The 19,714-nt window shown below is 42.4% G+C and overlaps 1 long non-coding RNA gene and 1 pseudogene across 1 annotated transcript in view; both read left to right on the top strand.

Moving 5' to 3' along the window:
* The window catches only part of LINC02532 (long intergenic non-protein coding RNA 2532), a 70,090-nt gene that overhangs the window by 47,978 nt on the left and 2,398 nt on the right, over window positions 1-19,714 (top strand). Inside the window, exons 3-6 of the long non-coding RNA NR_033557.2 lie at window positions 4,146-4,266; window positions 5,487-5,582; window positions 14,175-14,222; window positions 14,904-14,997. This is a non-coding gene — a long non-coding RNA (long intergenic non-protein coding RNA 2532). The remainder of the gene's footprint in view (window positions 1-4,145; window positions 4,267-5,486; window positions 5,583-14,174; window positions 14,223-14,903; window positions 14,998-19,714) is intronic.
* Window positions 510-616, top strand: RNU6-117P (RNA, U6 small nuclear 117, pseudogene; annotated as a pseudogene).

Below are 19,714 nucleotides of genomic sequence, written 5' to 3'. Positions count from 1 at the left end.
CCAGGCCCACATATTACCAGGTTCCTTTGGCTCTGCAAGCCTGTGGTGCTTGGGCACGCTTGGCTGCTTTTTCTTCCCCCTGCTGGGTATTGGGGGGGCTTCTGAGACACTGACTTCCTTGGCCTCTCACTCAGTCCTTGCCAGATGGGGGCTTCTCCTATACGCTTGCAGAGCCCCTGGTTCACACCCAGGGAAGCGAAGCATAGTTCCCTCTGCACTCAGTTCTTCTTTGACTAAAATGGGTTTTTGTTGCCCAGCCCCCAAACTCAAGCAAGGCCAATGGTAAGGACAGGACTTGGGACCCTCTCCAAGACATTCGTTAATATCTATTTCAATCTCTTCTCACAATTCTCTCCCCTCAGACATGCCAGGTCTTAGATGACATGACTTAAATTATAAAGATGTCAAATATCCCCAAATTAACTTATAAATCTAGTGCAATCCCAGTTAAAATCCTAGTTGTAATTTTTTTATAGATACTTGATATGTTTGTTCTAAAATGTATAGGAGTTCTCACTGTGGTAGCACCTATACTAAAACTGGAATCATACGGAGAAGATTAGCATGGCCTCTGTGCAAAAATGGCATGCAAATTTGTGAAGCATTCCATATTTTAAAAATAAATAAATAAAATGTATAGGAAAAAATAAGTTCCACAAGGAGCTAAATCAAATGGTAGAATAAAGAGGGGAAATTGCCCACCAGATAGCAAGACACCCTACAAAGTTGTTTTGAATGTGGGAGTGGAGTGGAATAGACGGTTCACAGGTAGCTCTGCATTTACTTGTGAATTTCATACAATGCCGAGTTGGCTCCACAGTTTAATTAGGGGGTGGATGGAGTGTTTAGTATATGGTGATGGAAAAATAGGCAGAGAAAGAAAGGATAGAGAAAATTAAAGTAGGATCCATATCTAACCCCACATACAAAGGAGATCTCCAACAGACAAGAGACCTAAAGGTGAAAGATAAGATCATAAAGTTAACAGGAGAAAAGTATTGCAACCTGGAAGGGGTAAAGAAATCCTTAAACAAGACTTCGAAAGTGCAAGCCACAAGGCAAATTGGTAGATCGGATTACACCAAAATTAAGGATTTCTGTGAACAAGTGACATCGCAGTTGAACTGAAGAGATGATGACAGTTTGGGAAGAGATTATGAGGTCTAAAAGTGACAAAGGGGATGAATATCTAGAATATACAAAGAACTCTGGATAGTACCCCAAAAGAAAAATGGGTGTCATATTCAGACAATTTACAATAACTCAAGGCTGTATAAGGCTGTAAGGCTATTACACAGCTATTAGCCTAGAGAATTTAGAGAGCTTGAGAATGCCAATGCTGGCAGAGGTGTGGGAATAAGATTTTCCTGCTGCTCGTGGAAGCACAGGTTGGAGAATGATCTGGCATTAGCTAATCAAATTAAGTGTCTATTCGGGGCATAGGTCTCTTAGAAATTCTCACACAGGTCCATTAAAGGGATATGTAGAAGCAGGGGTCAATCCAGGATTTGTGGGGCTTGAAGTTTATATAATTTGGGGAACTCTGTTATGATATTATGGTATAATAAATAATACATATTTGGTCTCTGCTGCTGGTTCCTGACACCTGGCTCCTAAAACCTTTGGAATCTCTAAAGGGATAAGTGTCTTTTTGTAAGCAGATGAGATGACTGGTGGCTGGGAGCTCCTAGATAGCTTTGGGATGGAAGCTGGTCACCAAAAGACCAAGGCATGATTAGGGAATTGGGACTTTCAGCTCTAGCCCCCAATGTCTAGGTTGGGGAGAAGGACCGAAAGTTCAGGTGATCACCGATGGCCAATGATTTAATCAGTTATGTCCATATAATGACTCCTCCATGAAAAAAAACAAAAGGACAGGGCTTGGATGAGCTTTTGGATTACAAAACATGTGGAGGTACCTGGAGGGCATGCTCAGAAAGGGCATGGGAACTTTGTGCCCCTCCCCACATACCTTGCCCTGTGTGTCTCCTCCATCTGGCTGTTCATCTGTATCCTTCATGATATCCTTTATAATAAATGGATAAACATAAGTAAAGTGTTTCCCTGAATTCTGTTTGCCACTCTGGCAAATAAATCAAACCCAAGGAGGGAGTTGTGGGAACCCCAATTTATAGCTGGTGGTCAGAAGCACAGGTCACAATCTGGGGCTTGTCATGGGCATCTGAAGTTGGGGGTAGGGGTAAACTTGTGGGACTGAGCCCTTAACCAGTGGGATCTGATACTATCACCAGGTAGACAGTGTCAGAATTAAACTGAATTAGAGGACACCCAGCTGGTGTCTGCTGGAGAATTGCTTGGTATGTGGGGAAATATCTCATCAAAGAAACGTTCTATGTTGTGAGAGCATAGGAGGAGAAAACAGTTTGTCTCTTTTTCCCCTCAGACCTGTTTAAGAAAAAGAACACAAATTATGAATACACAATTAGGTATGGAGCTTTGGAAGAAGCTTGTACAAGTGAGGAGCCCCAACAATGAAGCTTTATCAGCCTGTCTGTGGATTAGCCTCCATTTATGGGGAGGTTCTCGGCAATGTTGTATGCAGAGTGAGGAGTTGAAAGTTTTTAAGCCTGTTTGGTTATCACACCTCTTGGGCTCATTGGGATAGATAATTGATGATACTATCTCAGCACTCTCTTTAATACTAAAACATATACCTAAACTTAAAAAATTGTCCTCAAATAATGGGCACCCAGATAGCCAAACTGGCTCAGGTAATCTCCCATCACTAAGACTAAGGGCTGCTGGGTGTAAACATGCCAGACCCGTGGAGATAAGGTTAGGAAGTCCTCACGCCTCTGGCAAGGCAAGATCATTCAGTTATACTTGTTGAGAGAAAATATTTTGCAATACTTTCAAGTTTGTTTATATATTTTTAGACATGCCTGTCTACTAAGGAGAGTGTTTGAAAAAAGAAGCTCCATGAAATCTTCTGGATGGGCTGGGGCTTGCTCCACTCTGTGAACTGTGCCCCCAGGGCATGTGCTGAGTTCACCTGCCCCAGCCAGTTTTTTGGGAGGGGATCTCCAACCTATTTCTAATGAGGGGCAGTGAAAGCTGGAAACACTGGGCTTCCCTATGAAGTAAGGGACTCAGAGAAGAGGAAGAAGCTAAAGGAGCATTAGTCTCTCCTGAGTGGAGCTAGCTCTAGAGATGGCTACTGTAGGGGATCAGAATATGCCACCCTAAAATTTGTACTTTGGCGTAAGGATTATTTGAAGCTGAAGACAATTGAAAACAGTGGACACCAAAAAAACACTCTCCTCTCCTTCCCCCACCATTTGCCTAGAAGTAGGTTCAGATGCTTAATCACCAGACTTTTTTTTTTTTTTTAGCTCAGTGACAGCATGAGGGGAATCTATACCACAAACCTTACTAAGACAATCCTGACTTTCTATTAGTTTCCCTCATATATTTATCTTCCCACAGTTTTCTGCCCTTGTGTCTTAGTCTGTTTCCTGCTGCTATAACAGAAGCCACAGATTGCATAATTTGTAAAGAAAAGAGATTTATTTGGCTCATAGTTCTGGAGGCTGGGAAGTCCAAGGGCATGGCACCTGCATCTGTCAAGGCTCATTCCATGGTTAAAGAGAGGAAGGTGGAAGTGAGTCCATGAAACAGAGACAGAGGAAATCTGGCCAAACCCTTCCTTTTTATCAGGAACCCACTCTCAATAACTAACCTACTCTGTGATAACAGCATTAATCCATTCATGAGGGCCAAACTTTCATGACTTAATCACTCCTTAAAAGCTCCACCTCCTGCAATAAATTATTTTTAGAGATGGGGTCTTACTATGTTGCCTAGGCTGGTCTTGAACTCCTGGGCTCAAGTGATCCTCCCACCTCAGCCTCTCAAAGTGCTGGGATTACAGGCATGAGCCACCATGCCTGGCCCTGCAATAAATTTCAACGTGAATCTTGGAAAGGGCATTGAAACCATAGCACCTTGGAAGGCTAAAATCCTTTCCTTTGTCTCATCACTTCTCTACAAATTTATTGTTCTTCGTTAAGGTGTTATATAAGCCCCAACCTCTAACCATCCCTTTGACTTGCTCATCACTGAGTTTTTCTGTGAGTATGTGCATTGCATATGTTAATAAACTCTGTTTTTCTCTTGCTTTTTAGACTGCCTTTTGTCAGTCTCATTTGCAGGCCCCCAGCTGGAGAACCCAGGAGGAAGAGGAAAAAAGTTTTTTCCTCCTCTACACTCCCCATGCATGACTAAAGAGTAGGAGGAGTCAGCAAGGTATGTGACCCCAACTGCAAGCAGAAACAGCAATGAAAGGACTGATGATCAAACAGGGACCAAGCTACATTTCTGCAGCTATGGTCAGTGTGTATCTGGCTTGTTTGATGCCCAGAATGAATTGATTTTTGTCGATCTTCATCTATACAACAAAATTATCTTCAGTAATAATCATAAAAATGGAATAGATAATAACAATGTCCAGGAAAAAAAGAGTCAGTAAATTTTAAAAATTGAACTTCATATATACTGTTATGCCAGAAAAAAAGAAAAAAGAAGTGAAATAAATATTATAGTAAAATAAAAAGAAATAGATTAAATATTTTATAACATTAATACGACTTTTGAAAACAGGGAAGACTTAAACCTACATGTTTGTTGTAGTATGAGATGATAAAATTACAGTTTATAACAAATAATAATAAAGAAAATTTCAAACTAAAAATATATTATGGCTGGGCATGGTGGCTCACACCTGTAATCCCAGCACTTTGGGAGTGTGAGGTGGGCAGATCACCTGAGGTCAGGAGTTCAAGACCAGCCTGGCCAACATGGTGAAACCCCGTCTCTACTAAAAATACAAAAAGATTAGCTGGGCGTAGTAATGGGCGCCTGTAATCCCAGTTACTCAGGAGGCTGAGGCACGAGAATCTCTGGAACCTGGGAGGCAGAGGTTGCAGTGAGCTGAGATGGCACCATTGCACTCCAGCCTGGGCAACAAGAAAGAAACACCGTCTCAAAAAAAAAAAAAAGAACAAAAATACATACATACATACATACATACATACATATATATATATATATGCATTTAAAAATTGGTAAAAAATTTCATGTGTGAACTAAAATTTGTACTTGCAACCAAAAATGGGGGTGAACAGGGAGTGACTGCATAATGGGCATGGAATCTTCTTTGGGAATGATGAAAAGTTTTGGAACTAGACAGAGGTGATGGTTGTACAACATTGTGAATTTACTAAATGCCACGGAATGTACACTTTAAAACTGTTATTTTTATGTTCTATAAATTTCACCTCCATTCTAAAAAAGTTTAAAAAATACCATACCTTGAAGTGCATGCTCTGTTTCACTACTACATTTTTTAAAATACAAATAAAAACTACAAGTGGCTACGTGGAATGGCAGTATTGAAGCAACTGAAGTTCTATTTCTTTATCTTTACAATCATTGTTTTCTCTTTGTTTCAAATGCATTATGTAAAGGCAGACATATATAGTACCCAGGAGGTGGACAAACAACTGCCTTGGTGGAAACTCTGTCCTTTCTGGACTTATCCTGGTGCCACTGAGACTGTGCAGGTGAGTCTGTGTGTATTAGGAGACAGTATGACTAACAGGGAGTTCCAAAATTCGCTTTCATGTAGAGAACAATGCATATCAACGGATAAGTAATACAATTTGCTAATTTGAAGCATACATGTATTTAGCTAAAACTCACAGAAATTGTTTAGAATTTAAACCCAAAAACTACTTTGCGAGGAAGGTGTTTTATCACAGCCATTATGTAGAATTGCCCATTTGTGGGCAATTGCCAGTTCATAGGCTTTTCATAAAAAGTGAATTACCTTTTATTTGGTTTTATTATTGCTTATAAACCTCTACTGTCTGCACCTATAGCAAGCCATGTATCTGGCTCCCCTCCCACCTTCTCACCTTGGAACACCACCAGCTGTAGGCATCTACATGCAGCAGGAAGCATCACTGAGTAAGTTCGACTACACATCAAGGGTAGACACCACACTGTCCATCCAGCCTGCTCTGAACTGGCCCTGGGAAGGCGTGTCTGGAGAAGCTGTGTTGGAAGGATTAGAATAATACACATCTCCACACTTACCCACTCTGCATGGGCTGCCTGAGAAAACTGTGTACCAGAATGTGTTAAGAGTTGGAGAGGACAGATGCAGGTTTTAAGAGCCTGTTTTTTGTGCCCTCTTCAGGAAGATTAAGTGGATCCTCCTATAGAAAGGTGTATTCATGAAGGCTGCCTGCAGTGGACTGAGTGGTCATTCCACTTGGGGTCAAGATGGGGTTCATGACAAAGCATGTAACAGAGCACCAAGGAGGTGCCCTGGCCATATTGGATGGAGTTCAGGACAGAATCCAGTCCTGAACAAGGAGGAATGGAGTACCTGGTCAGTGCTCAAGACAAGAGTCTCATCCTTTTCTTTTCTTTACTTTTCTTTTTCTTTTTTTTTTTTTGAGACAGTCTCACTCTGTCATCCAGGCTGGAGTGTAATGGCGCGATCTCGGCTTACTGCAACCTCTGCCTCCCGGGCTCAAGCGATTCTCCTTCCTCAGCCTCTGGAGTAGCTGGGATTACAGGCGCCCACCACCATGCCTGGCTAATTATTATTATTTTTTTTTTGGTATTTTTAGTAGAGACAGGGTTTCACCATGTTGGTCAGGCTAGTTTCAAACTCCTGACCTCAAGTGATCTGCCTGCCTCGGCCTGCCAAAGTGCTGGGGTTATAGGCGTGAGTCACCGCGCCCTGCCAGCCCATCCTTATAACGTGCCCATCATGCCAACATGATGGCATGTTGTAAGTCCATGTTATGCGTGTGCCTGGTGTGTGTGTGTGTGTGTGTGTGTGTGTGTGTATGATGTGTTGGGGGTGTGGCATTGCTGCTTCAGCTCCCTAGGTTCACCCCAGTCTCAGAGCACCAGGTTAAAAACAACTCAAAAAATTCTAGCCACCATCTGCTGGAGCAGCTGAGGCTTCTGGTCATGGGCTCAGTCTGCAACAAAGGAGCAGCTGAGCAGAACTGGACCAAGTTACCAGCCCCTACAGAAGCAATGAATTCTGGCTCAGGAGCTGAGAGCTATTTACTGGTAACATTTTACCTGGTCTTACAATTGAAGTTCGCCTATCAGGTATAGAAAAGGAGAAAACCTCATGAGCCAATGTGGAAAAGAGACATTTTGTGGCCCCTTTGGGGAACTCTTGACTGTGGCATGGATTTATGGCCTGAAACGGTAGAAGAAGAACATAAAGGAGAAATTTGGCATCAGGTTGGCAAGAGTCTTGAATGCTTGCCACAGAGTTGGGGCAATGGGGAACAATAGAAGGTTTGTAAGCAGAATAAAGGGGGAATGAAGTGTTTTAGAGATACAACTCTGGAGGCAGTGAAAAGGAAGAACTGGGAAGGGGAGATGTTGATTGGAAGCATCAAGACCTGTTATGAAGGTGCCTGCAGAAGTCCTGGAATAGATAACAAGGGCCTGGGTTGGGGGTACAAGGATGAAAGGCCCAGACAGATCTCCACTAAACCTAGTGTGAAGCTAAACAGATCAACGCACTCATCAGATACAGCCATGGCAGGGACTATGGCAAGGGATAGACAAGCACTTCAGCCAGAGCATGATGGTCAGGGATGTCATATAGAAATGCTCCCTGAACTGCATTCTGAAGGATGATCCAGTGAGCCAGGCAGGAAGGCACCAGGCAGAGGGAGCAGCACGTGCAAAGGCACGGAGGCCCAGGAGAGCATGGGGCCTTTGACTTGCAAGAGATTTCCTGTGTGTGATTGCTATATGGGGTAGGTATGGGTAGGGGAGTGTCAGCAGGAGGCTGATTCACAAGGGGCTTGGTTGGTTTACTGTTGGTTTGTTTACCCATGCTGATTAGTTTACTAAGGGCAAAAAGGAGCCATTGAAAGTGAAGGTTGAAATATGGTTCTGGAGCCTACAAGACAAGGTGGGGCAGTAGATACAGGATGGAAGGTCTTTATATGTGAATCTGGTTTGGAATAGCTGGAAGAACACGCCCAGATTTCTTCTCTTTGTGCTCTATTCTTTAAATTGTATTTTATGTGGCAATCGATTTACTGGTACTTTTCCCCCAGTCTAGATAATTATTAACTGTATGGATTTTGCCAGTAAGAAATTAATCTGCTCTGTGGAGCAAATTGTTTGGACAGAACAACCTTCAAACTTTGTTTCTGCCCTGGCAGCCAGAAGGTTGCAATGTGAGCTGAATTTGGCCCTAAACTAAGTCCTGGTGGCTAATGAGCCATGAGCCAAGGCTGAGAAGTGGGGTGGCTTGTGCCCTGCAGTCGTGAGAAAAGGCACAGGGCAGCTCTACGTGGACTTGGGCTTAGCATCTCTGGGTTGCTCAGAGGGCAAAGTGTCCTGAGGGAGGTAAATTGTGGTAAAACAGTTTAAAAAGTGAGAGGAATGGGAGAGGTGAAGCTTAATTCCTGCTGGTTCCACGGTGATGCTATAATGCTTAGGAGTTGAAAAACGATTTCTCTAGCCCATAGGAACTCAAACTCACTGAAAGAGAAAAAACTTGGCATTGCTTTAGCAAAATTCAAGTAGATGCTACATTCCACTGGAATAATCTAGAATGCATGTGCTAGTTTCTTCTATACTGCAGGTCGCATTCTCTGGCAGGCCTGCTTCACTTGGCAGCAACACTTTTAAAGAGAAACGGCTACATCTCCAGGTTCTGTGCCCCGGGCTTGCAGAGAAAAGGAATAAAATTAAAACAGTATTTGAACTTTTAAAAATATTTAAATTGCTGGCTCATTTCAGACTGGCGTTTCTTAAAATAATGGTCTCTACTCACCAAGCCACTGCCAAGGGACCCACGGTGGCTGTCCTGTATCCTTGGGTTCAATTAGAAGAACTCTCCTTGCTCATCAAGGCTTTTCATAGCTGTCTTTCCCATTTATCCTCCACACCTGTGAACTTCTGTCATAAGTTCTAGTCCAGCCCATCATCTCGCTGGTTCCACTGGACACCAGGCACTATACTTACCTTTTCTTTTCTTTTCTTTCCTTTTCTTTTCTTTCTTTATTTTCTTTCTTTCTTTCTCTCTCTTTTTCTTTCTCTCTCTCCCTTCCTTCCCTCCTTCTTTCCTTCTTTTTTTTTTTTTTTGAGATGGGCCCTCACTCTGTTGCACAGGCTGGTCTCAAACTTCTGGGCTCAAGTGATCCTTCTGCCTCAGTCTCTTATGTAGCTGGGACCACAGGTCCAAAGGCATATGCCATCACATCTGGCTAACTTTTTGCTTTTGTGTAGAGACGGACTCTCACTTTGTTGCCCAGGCTGGTCTCGAACTTTCAAGCCATCCTCCCACCTCGGCTTCCCAAAGTGCTGGGATTGTAGGCGTGAGCCACCATGCTCTACCTGTACTTGCTTCTATTTTTGCATTCTGTTAGATTGTGTCCTTCATGACGTAAAGAATGCACACCCAGTAGAATGCATTTCTATTCTTGCATGCTACTTTGCATTCTTGTTTACAAAGCTTCCCCTAACTTCCTCCCTCCTTCTCCACCTGCTCAAATATGTCAATATTCAGACTTGGACCCAGCCCTTCTGTTGCTGACTGTTCTGGTGGCAGGCCCTTCTCCCTGCCAAACAGGACCTCAGTGCTGTTTAGGGGTCCAGCTCTCTCCAGCTAAGGGGAAGGTGACCTGGCCACAGCTCAAGATAATTTCCAACTTCTAAGTCAATTATCATGGTCCCATCCCCTGACCATGACTAGCTGGGGTGGGCAGGCTGGTTGGTTTGTAGAACATCCTTCAATTTCCAACTTCCAATTCAATTTGCCTGGTTGTTTCCTCATTCCTCGTGATTAGATTCAGCTTAAACAATTTGAGGTCGGAATATGAATAATCTCTTGATTAACCGAGAGGGTAACTGGTATTTATAATTCCTGAATCCTTTAAAGTGTGAGGAGAGCCATAGAATCCATGTCCTTGGGGACATCTTGTTTATTTTTATTTTTACTTTTATTTTAGGTTGGAGGGTACACATGCAGGCTTGTTACATACGTAAACTCGTGTCACGAGGGTTTGCGCTACTGGTTGTTTCGTCACCCAAGTATGGAGCCTAGTACCCAATAGTTATCTTTTCTGATCCTTTCCCTCCTTCCATGTTCTACCCTCAAATAAGCCCCAGTGTGTGTTGTTCCCCTCTACGTGTGCATGTGTTTTCATCATTTAGCTCCCATTTATAAGTGAGAATATGTGGTATTTGGTTTTCTGTTCCTGCATTAGTTTGCTAAGGATAATGACCTCCAGCTCCATCCATGTTCCTTCAAAAGACCTGATCTCATTCTTTTTTTGTAGCTTCATAGTATTCCATGCCGTGTGTATATGCACCACATTTTCTTTATCCAATCTGTCACTGATGGACATTTAGGTTGATTCTATGTCTTAGCTATTATAAATAGTGCTGCAACAAACTTTTGAGTGAGTATGTCTTTATGGCAGAATGATTTATATTCCTTTCGGTATACACCCAGTAATGAATGGGACTGCTGGGTTGAATGGTAGTTCTGTTTTTAGCTCTTTGATGAATGACCACACTGCTTTCCACAATGGCTGAACCAATTTACACTCCCACCAACAATGTATAAGCATTTGCTTTTCTCTGCAACCTTGCCAGCATGTTATTCTTTGACTTTTTAATAAAAACCTAACATTCCAACAGGTGTGAGATAGTATCTCATTGTGGTTTTGATTTGCATTTCTCTAATGACAATGATGTTGAGCTTTTTTTCATATACTTGTTGGTAGCATGTATGTCTTCTTTGGTAAAATGTCTGTTCATGTCCTCTGGGGGCATCTTTTTTATAAGCGAGTTTCTCAAATATATACCAGACATGGGAATCCTGTGATTTTGTGTTTCTCGTCCAAACTAGTGAAGCCACTTGCATTAAGAGAGGCCCTTACCTCTCCAGGCCCTTGGCAGTCCTGCATTATCCACACATTGCCCAACCCGGGGCCCCACAGTTAGGCCTGTGCTGCTGCCAGGGATTGCTGTGGGTGGAGATGGCAAGGGCCTGACAGATGCCTACGTTATTGCCACCACCCCCAGGGCAAGTTTCTCCAGGGATTCAGCAGAGGCTCAGCTTGTAGCCTCAAGGGCTCTCTGGCTCTACCTCCTTTCTGCCTGGAGGATCGTAGCCCTGGCCCTCAAAAGGCTGAATGTGGAGGGGAATGGGGCCAGGCACTTTTATAGTACATCACATAGGCACAGGATAAATGTTTTGAGGGAATCAGGAGTAAGGAGGTAGAAAGAGCTTTAGTGATAATTGACTGTTTTTCAGATCAATGCCATGAAATAATACAAACAGCAAGAGGATATCTCATTGTTATTATTTTGCTTACCAATATTCTAGAGCTTTAGGCAAAATTGCAAAGGAGCTATTATTTTTCTTTGGTGTCTTCAAGCCTCCCCTTCTAGTCCCTCACTATTGTCCTTCCTTAGACTTCTAGAGCTCAAAATGGCTTCTATCAGGAATTAGCTTCGGTTTCTTTGTTCACACCAAAGTGTATATGGCTAATAACATTTTAAAGTGTTACTTCTATGGAGATGTTGGCATTTTGCCAGGTTCAACAGCCAATAGAAGAAATGCAGCTTAAAATTCCTTGCATCTGCCAGATGGGGAAAATATGTGACTCTGTATATGGATCTCCCCTAAAATTCATTTATTTGTTCAATAAATATTTATTGAGGCCTATTATAGCAAAACCTTAGGGAAATAAGGAATGCATATTAAAGTACACAGAAAAGAATTTACGCGAATGGGCAAAATGAGGCAGGCAGTGTTACATGTCTTGTCTGAGATTACCAAATTTACTTCTGACAATCAATCCATAAATCACTCAAGAAACAGAGGAAATACTGGAGAACTGTTACTCAGTCTGTGATCTGCATTTATAGTGTAGTTTGGGTAGCAAGAATAATATGCATGAAGCAATTAGCCAGTTGTTATGGATTGAATGTGTCCCCCCAGCAAATTCCCATGTTGAAGCCTTGACTCCCAGTTTGATAGCATTTGAAGATGGGGCCTTTGGGAGGTAATTAGGGCTAGATGGGGTCATGAGGGTGGGCCCTTGTAGGGCATTAGGGCCCTCGTAAGAAGAGAAATCAGGCCGAGTGCAGTGGCTCACGCCTGTAATCCCAGCACTTTGGAGGCTGAGGCGGGCGGATCACCTGAGGTCAGGAGTTTGAGACCAGCCTGGCCAACATGGTGAAACCCCGTCTCTACTAAAAATACAAAAAAATTAGCTGGACGTGGTGGCGGGCAGGCGCCTGTAATCCCAGCTGCTTGGGAGGCTGAGGCAGGAGAATCTCTTGAACCCGGAGGCTGAGGTTGCAGTGAGCCGAGATCATGCCATTGCACTCCAGCCTAGGCAACAAGAGAGAAACTCCATCTCAAAAACAAAACAACACAAAACAAAAAAAGAAGAGAAATCAAAGCTTGTTCCCTGTCTCTCTCTCTCCACATGTGAGCACACAAAGAGGTCACGTGAACACACAATGAGAAGGAGGCTGCCTGCAAGTTAAGAGAAGAGGCCTCAGCATGAAACCTGCCTTACTGGCACTTTGGTCTTGAACTTCCCAGCCTCTAAAACTGTGAGAAATAAGTTTCTGTTGTTCAAGCCACCCAGTCTATGGTATTCTGTATGGCAGCCAGAATTAAGACACCAGTGAAGCAAGATAATCAGTAACTGGATACTTAACTGTGTGGTATAAAACATAGGGGCTTTAGTAGAGAAGAAAATTGGACTTTGTTGGGGACATCCTTACTACTTCTGCTCATGTATCATGCTTTAGCTTGTTTCTGTCTTTGGAGGAGGCTGCATATTTTTAAAATACCCCCAAAAGTACAAAGACTAATGTTATAGCCCCTGTGTTCTCATTATCCAGGCTTAATAAATGTTGGCCATTTTCCACTTTTGTTTCATATATAAGTTTCTACAAAATGACAACACCTTAGATAAAGCTGAAGTTCATGTTTCATTCTGCATCCCTTCCCCCAAGGGCTTCTTTTGCTCAATATGGGACTCATGAGAGTCATCGGTGTTGTGTGAGGCAGCTGTTTGTTGATTTTCTGGACCAAATAATGTTCCACCGTGTGACTGGACATACCTTAGTCTATCCATTCTACCACTGATGAGCATGTAAGCTGTTACTATTTTTAACTATTACAAATTATCTTGCTAACACATTTTTGTGCATGTCTTTTGGTGACCAAATGGACTCATTTCTCTCAGGTATGTATCTCAGAGTGAAACTGTTTTATCACAGTGTATGCTTTATATTTAGTGCTTTCCAATTCCTGATTAAGAAATCTTTGCCTGCTCCTAAGGATGTAAAATTATTCTCTTATGGCCTGGCTCAGTGGCTCATGCCTGTAATCCCAGCATTTTGGGAGGCCAAGGTGGGAGGATTGCTTGAGGCCAGGAGTTCAAGACCAGCCTGGGCAACATACTGAGACCCTCATCTCTACAAAAAAAAAAATTTGTTTAATTAGCTGAGCTTGGTGGTATGCACCTATAGTCCTAGCTACTCAGGAGGCTGAGGCAGGAGGATCGCTTGAGCCCAGGAATTCAGAGATGCAGTAAGCTATGATCATGCCACTGTATTACAGCCTGGGTGATAGGGTGAGACCCTGTCTCTAAAAAGATACATCTATTAAAAATAATATTATTTTATTTTATTTTATTTTATTTTATTATTATACTTTAAGTTTTAGGGTACATGTGCACATTGTGCAGGTTAGTTACATATGTATACATGTGCCATGCTGGTGCACTGCACCCACTAACTCGTCATCTAGCATTAGGTATATCTCCCAGTGCTATCCCTCCCCCCTCCCCCGACCCCACAACAGTCCCCAGAGTGTGATGTTCCCCTTCCTGTGTCCATGTGATCTCATTGTTCAATTCCCACCTATGAGTGAGAATATGCGGTGTTTGGTTTTTTGTTCTTGCGATAGTTTACTGAGAATGATGATTTCCAATTTCATCCATGTCCCTACAAAGGACATGAACTCATCATTTTTTATGGCTGCATAGTAAAAATACATTTTAAAAAATAATAAATTATTCTCTTATGTTATTGTCTAGAATCTTCATTATTTTACCTTTCAGATTTAGATCTACAATCCACCTGGAATTGATTTTTGTATATGGAGTGAGGTAGAGGTCAAGTTTTGCTTTTTCCCGTTTGACTGTCTTATTAACTTAACATCATTGATGTAAATGACCACTCTTTTCCTACTATGCTTCAGTGCCACCTTTGTCATAATCAAGTGTTCCTTCAAGTATGCATCTGCTTCTGACTCTCTCCCTTCTGTTCCTTTGAGCTATTTGTCCTGGGCCTTTACTGCACATCTCAGATTTGTCCCAACAAGGATTGAAGAAGCTGGGTTATTCATCCACCAATTCCTATTACTCATTGGTGAAAAGTTGCTCCTGGGGACATGAACTCCCTTGCACTTCTGCCGTGCTCTGGGAACAAGCCAGAAATAGTCCTATGACCAGGGAAAGTCTCCAGGATCTACTTCTCCACTTACACAATTGTTGGCAGCATCCAGTTCCTTGTAGTTATGGGACTGAGAGCTTCAGATTTTTGTTGATTGTTGGCCAGAGACCACCCTCAGCTCGCAGAGGACACCCCCAGTTCTTTGCCATTTAGGACTGCCCAACATGGCTACTTGCTTCCGCGTAGTCAGCAAGAGAAAGACTAGCATGGTGGGCACTACACTCCTATGGAATGTAATCACGTAATCATGTATACATAATCACATGTATCTTACCCACATGTATCCACATGTACCCACATCTTATCACATGTATCTTATTCCATTTGTGTCACAGGTCCCACACTTACAGGGAAAGCATCACCCGAAAGTGAGAATGCCTAGAGGCAGGAATCATGGAGGCTTCCTTAACCGTCTGTCTGCAACAGCAGGTATGTAAGCAATCTGTCAAGCTGTCAAGGTAACTGCCAGGGTGTGCCACATAGAGACTGGCAAGACACCGTCAGGGCCTGCTGTATGTCTGTATTCCAAACCCCTCTTGAATTTCAGACTCATATATACAATGGGCTATGAAACATCTCTTAGACAGCTAATAAGCATCTTGTTTTTGGCATGTCCCGAGCTAAACTAATCCACTCTTCCCCACCTCAGTAACAGAAAAAATCCATCACTCTTCCAGTTGTAAAAACCATGGAGGTGTCTTTGACTCCCCTCTTTGTCTCATAACTCTGTTGGTTCTGTTTTCAAGATAGATCCAGAAACAGAAACTGACCACTTTTTACCCCCTCTACAAACTGCCAACCTGGTGTAAACCACCATCATCTCTGGCCTGTTTCTGTACTCTAATCTCCTCTATAGTCAGTAGCCAGAGAGAATCTGTTTCAATAAAAGTCAGAAAATGGCAGTTCTCAGGTCAAAAATCCTCCAGTGGTTTCCCAAGTTCCTCAGAGTTCAAGCCAAAGATCTTCCATGCCTGCAAGCCCTACACGTCCCCAGCCCCAAGCCCTCTAGCCCATCCCCACCCTTCTCCCCTCTTCACTCTACTCCAGCCACACTGGTTGCCTTGCTGTTCCTTGACCATGCGGAGCACATTCCCACCTCAGGGGCTCTGCACTTGCCATTCCCTCTGCTGGAATACCCCTCACCCAGTGAACACAGGGTTCACTCTTTCAGCTCTTCCTGGTCTCTGATTAAATGCCCCCTTGTTGGCGAGGTCTTCCCTTTCCATCCAACATAGCACCAGACCCTATTCCCCTTACTCCGCTTTATTTCCCTCCATAGCAGTTATCACATAATGTGATATATTATGTATTTATTTCCTTTTTCTTTCTCTTCTTTGTGGAGATGGGGTCTTGCTATTTTGCCCAGGCTGGTCTCAAACTTTGGCCTCTTGCCTTGGCCTCCTGAAATGCTAGGATTACAGGTATGAGTCACCATGCCTGGCCTATATTTATTTTCTTACTTATTGTTTTTCTTCCCCTCCTAGAATGTGGGTTCCCTGAGGTTAAGGACTTCATCTCCTTTATTCACTACTGCATTCTCCAGATACAGCCTAGAGCAATACTTCACATGCAGGAGATGCTCAATGAGTAACTGTTGAAGGAATGGATGCTGTGTCCCAGAAGAGACCTTAGAGGTCGGACCTGGTCTGGTCTCAATTCAGAGAAGGACCAGGCTGTCATCACACATTAAGTGAGTGGTGGAGCTGGGACAAGAATCTAGGTCTCCTTTTTCTTGTCCACTGCTCTTCCCACTCTTCTCCGTTCTGTGCATAGGTGAAAGCTCAACACCATCAATTGATAATTAAGTAAAATAATGGGGAATAGGATTGAATGTGTTCCTGAAGGTTTTGCTAAATAAAACGATACTGCTCTTTTAATCTATGAATTGATTATCCAAAGCAAATGTCAACGGTGAGTAGAAGGCAGCAAGGCATGAGTTATTGTAACTGATAAAGCAGGGGTGGCGCAGTGCGGGGTTGGTGGGGAGGTGGTTTAAAATTGGCTAAACACACTCTCTGGTGTAGATATTTATAAGAATATTTATAAAGCTTACATAACCACTTCTAGATCATGGTTTCCTAATTAGGTTCTTTCAAATGCTGTCCATGCTGCCTAGAGTGATATTAAACTACACAGAGGTATATCATAGTGGTTATGCAGAATTATTTTATTTTATTATTATTTTTTTTTTTGAGATGGAGTCTCACTCTGTTGCCCAGGCTGGAGGGCAGTGGTGAGATCTCGGCTCACTGCAACCACCACCTCCCGGTTCAAGTGATTCTCCTGCCTCCGCCTCCCGATTAGCTGGGATCACAGGTGCTCGCCACAATACCCGGCTAATTTTTTGTATTTTTAGTAGAGACAGGGTTTCACCATGTTGGCCAGGCTGGTCTCGAACTCCTGACCTCAGGTAATCCACCAGCCTCGGCCTCCCAAAATGCTGGGATTACAGGTGTGAGCCACTGTGCCGGCCCAGAATTATTTTAAATTAGAGATATAACTTTCTGACATATCCTGCCTATACATTTGACATCTTTGTACAACATGGTAACTATAGTTAATAACAATGTATTGTATTGTATTCTGAAAATCACTAAGAGTAGATTTTAAGTGTTCTCACCACAAAAAAAATAAGTATGTGAGGCAATGCATATGATAATTAGCTTAGTTTAGCCATTTTACAATGTATACATATTTCAAAACATTATGTTATATATGATAAATATATACAGTTTTGTCAATTAAATATTAATTTTTTAAAATTAACCTCTTAAACCCCTCTATCATTCCAATCTATCATATTGCTGGAGAAATTGTGGAAATATGCAAATAAAATAACACAATTTTTGTTTTAGTTTGCCTACCATCTCAATGTCCAGCCATTACAGAAAATATATTTGAATAGCGTACAGAGAAAGGAAAGCACATGAAAACAAGGTGGCAAAAGAAATGACCTGGGGCCGGGCGCAGTGGCTCACGCCTGTAATCCCAGCATTTGGAAGGCTGAAGTCACTTGAAGTCAGTAGTTCAAGATCAGCCTGGCCAATAAGGTGAAACCCCATCTCTACTAAAAATACAAAAATTAGCTGGGCATTGTGGCACATGCCTGTAGTCCCAGCTACTAGGGAGGCTGAGGCAGAAGAATTGCTTGAACCCAGGAGGCAGAGGTTGCAGTGAGCTGAGATTGCGCCACTGCACTCCAGCCTGAGTGACAGAGCAAGACTCCATCTCAAAAAAAGAAAGAAAGAAAGAAATGATCTGGGAACCTAGGGAGTTGTTTTAGCTTAATTAAATTATTTTAGCAGAGCAGAGTTTACTAAAAAGCATGGTGAGGGATGGAACAAGGAAAGGGATGGAAGAAGATGTGGGTGGAGAGCATTCTTCTCTACATGCATTCTCTCTGCAAAAGGAGCCTAAGCCCCTTCACAGAAGAGAGATTTACTTTCTGGGCTTTGTAGGTTAGACACTGGCTTTATTAAGAGTGGCTCTTGGAGCCACTGCTCAGGTAAAGAACACAATGAAAGGGGCCATTGAGCAGAGCTGCTAGGACCAACCCTCCCCTGTTAATCAAAGGAACAAACTGAGTTATTTACCAGAGTCATTTACCTTGCAGACAACTCAGACCATTGTTCCCTGGGGCAGGATGATGACTCACTTGATCAATCACCTCCCCACCAACCCCGCACTGCGCCACCCCTGCTTTATCAGTTACAATAACTCATGCCTTGCTGCCTTCTACTCACCGTTGACATTTGCTTTGGATAATCAATTCATAGATTAAAAGAGCAGTATCGTTTTATTTAGCAAAACCTTCAGGAACACATTCAATCCTATTCCCCATTATTTTACTTAATTATCAATTGATGGTGTTGAGCTTTCACCTATGCACAGAACGGAGAAGAGTGGGAAGAGCAGTGGACAAGAAAAAGGAGACCTAGATTCTTGTCCCAGCTCCACCACTCACTTAATGTGTGATGACAGCCTGGTCCTTCTCTGAATTGAGACCAGACCAGGTCCGACCTCTAAGGTCTCTTCTGGGACACAGCATCCATTCCTTCAACAGTTACTCATTGAGCATCTCCTGCATGTGAAGTATTGCTCTAGGCTGTATCTGGAGAATGCAGTAGTGAATAAAGGAGATGAAGTCCTTAACCTCAGGGAACCCACATTCTAGGAGGGGAAGAAAAACAATAAGTAAGAAAATAAATATAGGCCAGGCATGGTGACTCATACCTGTAATCCTAGCATTTCAGGAGGCCAAGGCGAGGCCAAAGTTTGAGACCAGCCTGGGCAAAATAGCAAGACCCCATCTCCACAATTGGGGGGACTTAGAACCAAGACTAGAAGAAGGGTTCCATGATGATTCGGGGGCCTGCTTGCTAATAAAGCTTTGTAAGTTTGTCAGAAACTGGCCTAAGACTAGCTTTCATCATAATGAACCACCTGGGAGCAAGGATATATATATATATATGTGTGTGTGTATATATATATGTGTGTATATATATATATACATATATACACACACGTATATATGTGTATATATACACATATGTGTGTATACACACATACATGCATATGTGTGTATACACACATACATGCATATGTGTGTATACACACATACATGCATGTGTGTGTATACACACATACATGCATGTGTGTGTATACACACATACATGCATGTGTGTGTATACACACATACATGTATATGTGTGTGTATACACACATACATGTATATGTGTGTGTATACACACATACATGTATATGTGTGTATACACACATACATGTATATGTGTGTGTATACACATACATGTATATGTGTGTGTATACACATATGTATATGTATGTATACACACACATATGTATATGTATATATACACACACATATGTATATATACACACATATATACGTATGTGTGTGTGTGTGTATATATATATATATATATATTTTTTTTTTTTTTGAGACAGACCCTCACTCTGTCACCCAGGCTGGATTGCAGGGGCGCAATTTGGCTCACTGCAACATCCACCTCCCAGGTTGGAGTGATAAATTGGCTCAGGTCAATTTGCAACCCATATATTCAGCCATATATATATATATATATATATATATATATATATATATATATATATATTTTTTTTTTTTTTT

The sequence above is a fragment of the Homo sapiens genome, chromosome 6 (genome assembly GCF_000001405.40).
Source record: "Homo sapiens chromosome 6, GRCh38.p14 Primary Assembly".
NCBI classification, from domain to species: domain Eukaryota; kingdom Metazoa; phylum Chordata; class Mammalia; order Primates; family Hominidae; genus Homo; species Homo sapiens.
The sequence above is the reverse complement of the archived record's forward strand: the minus strand, read 5'-3'. Positions and strand labels throughout refer to the sequence as shown.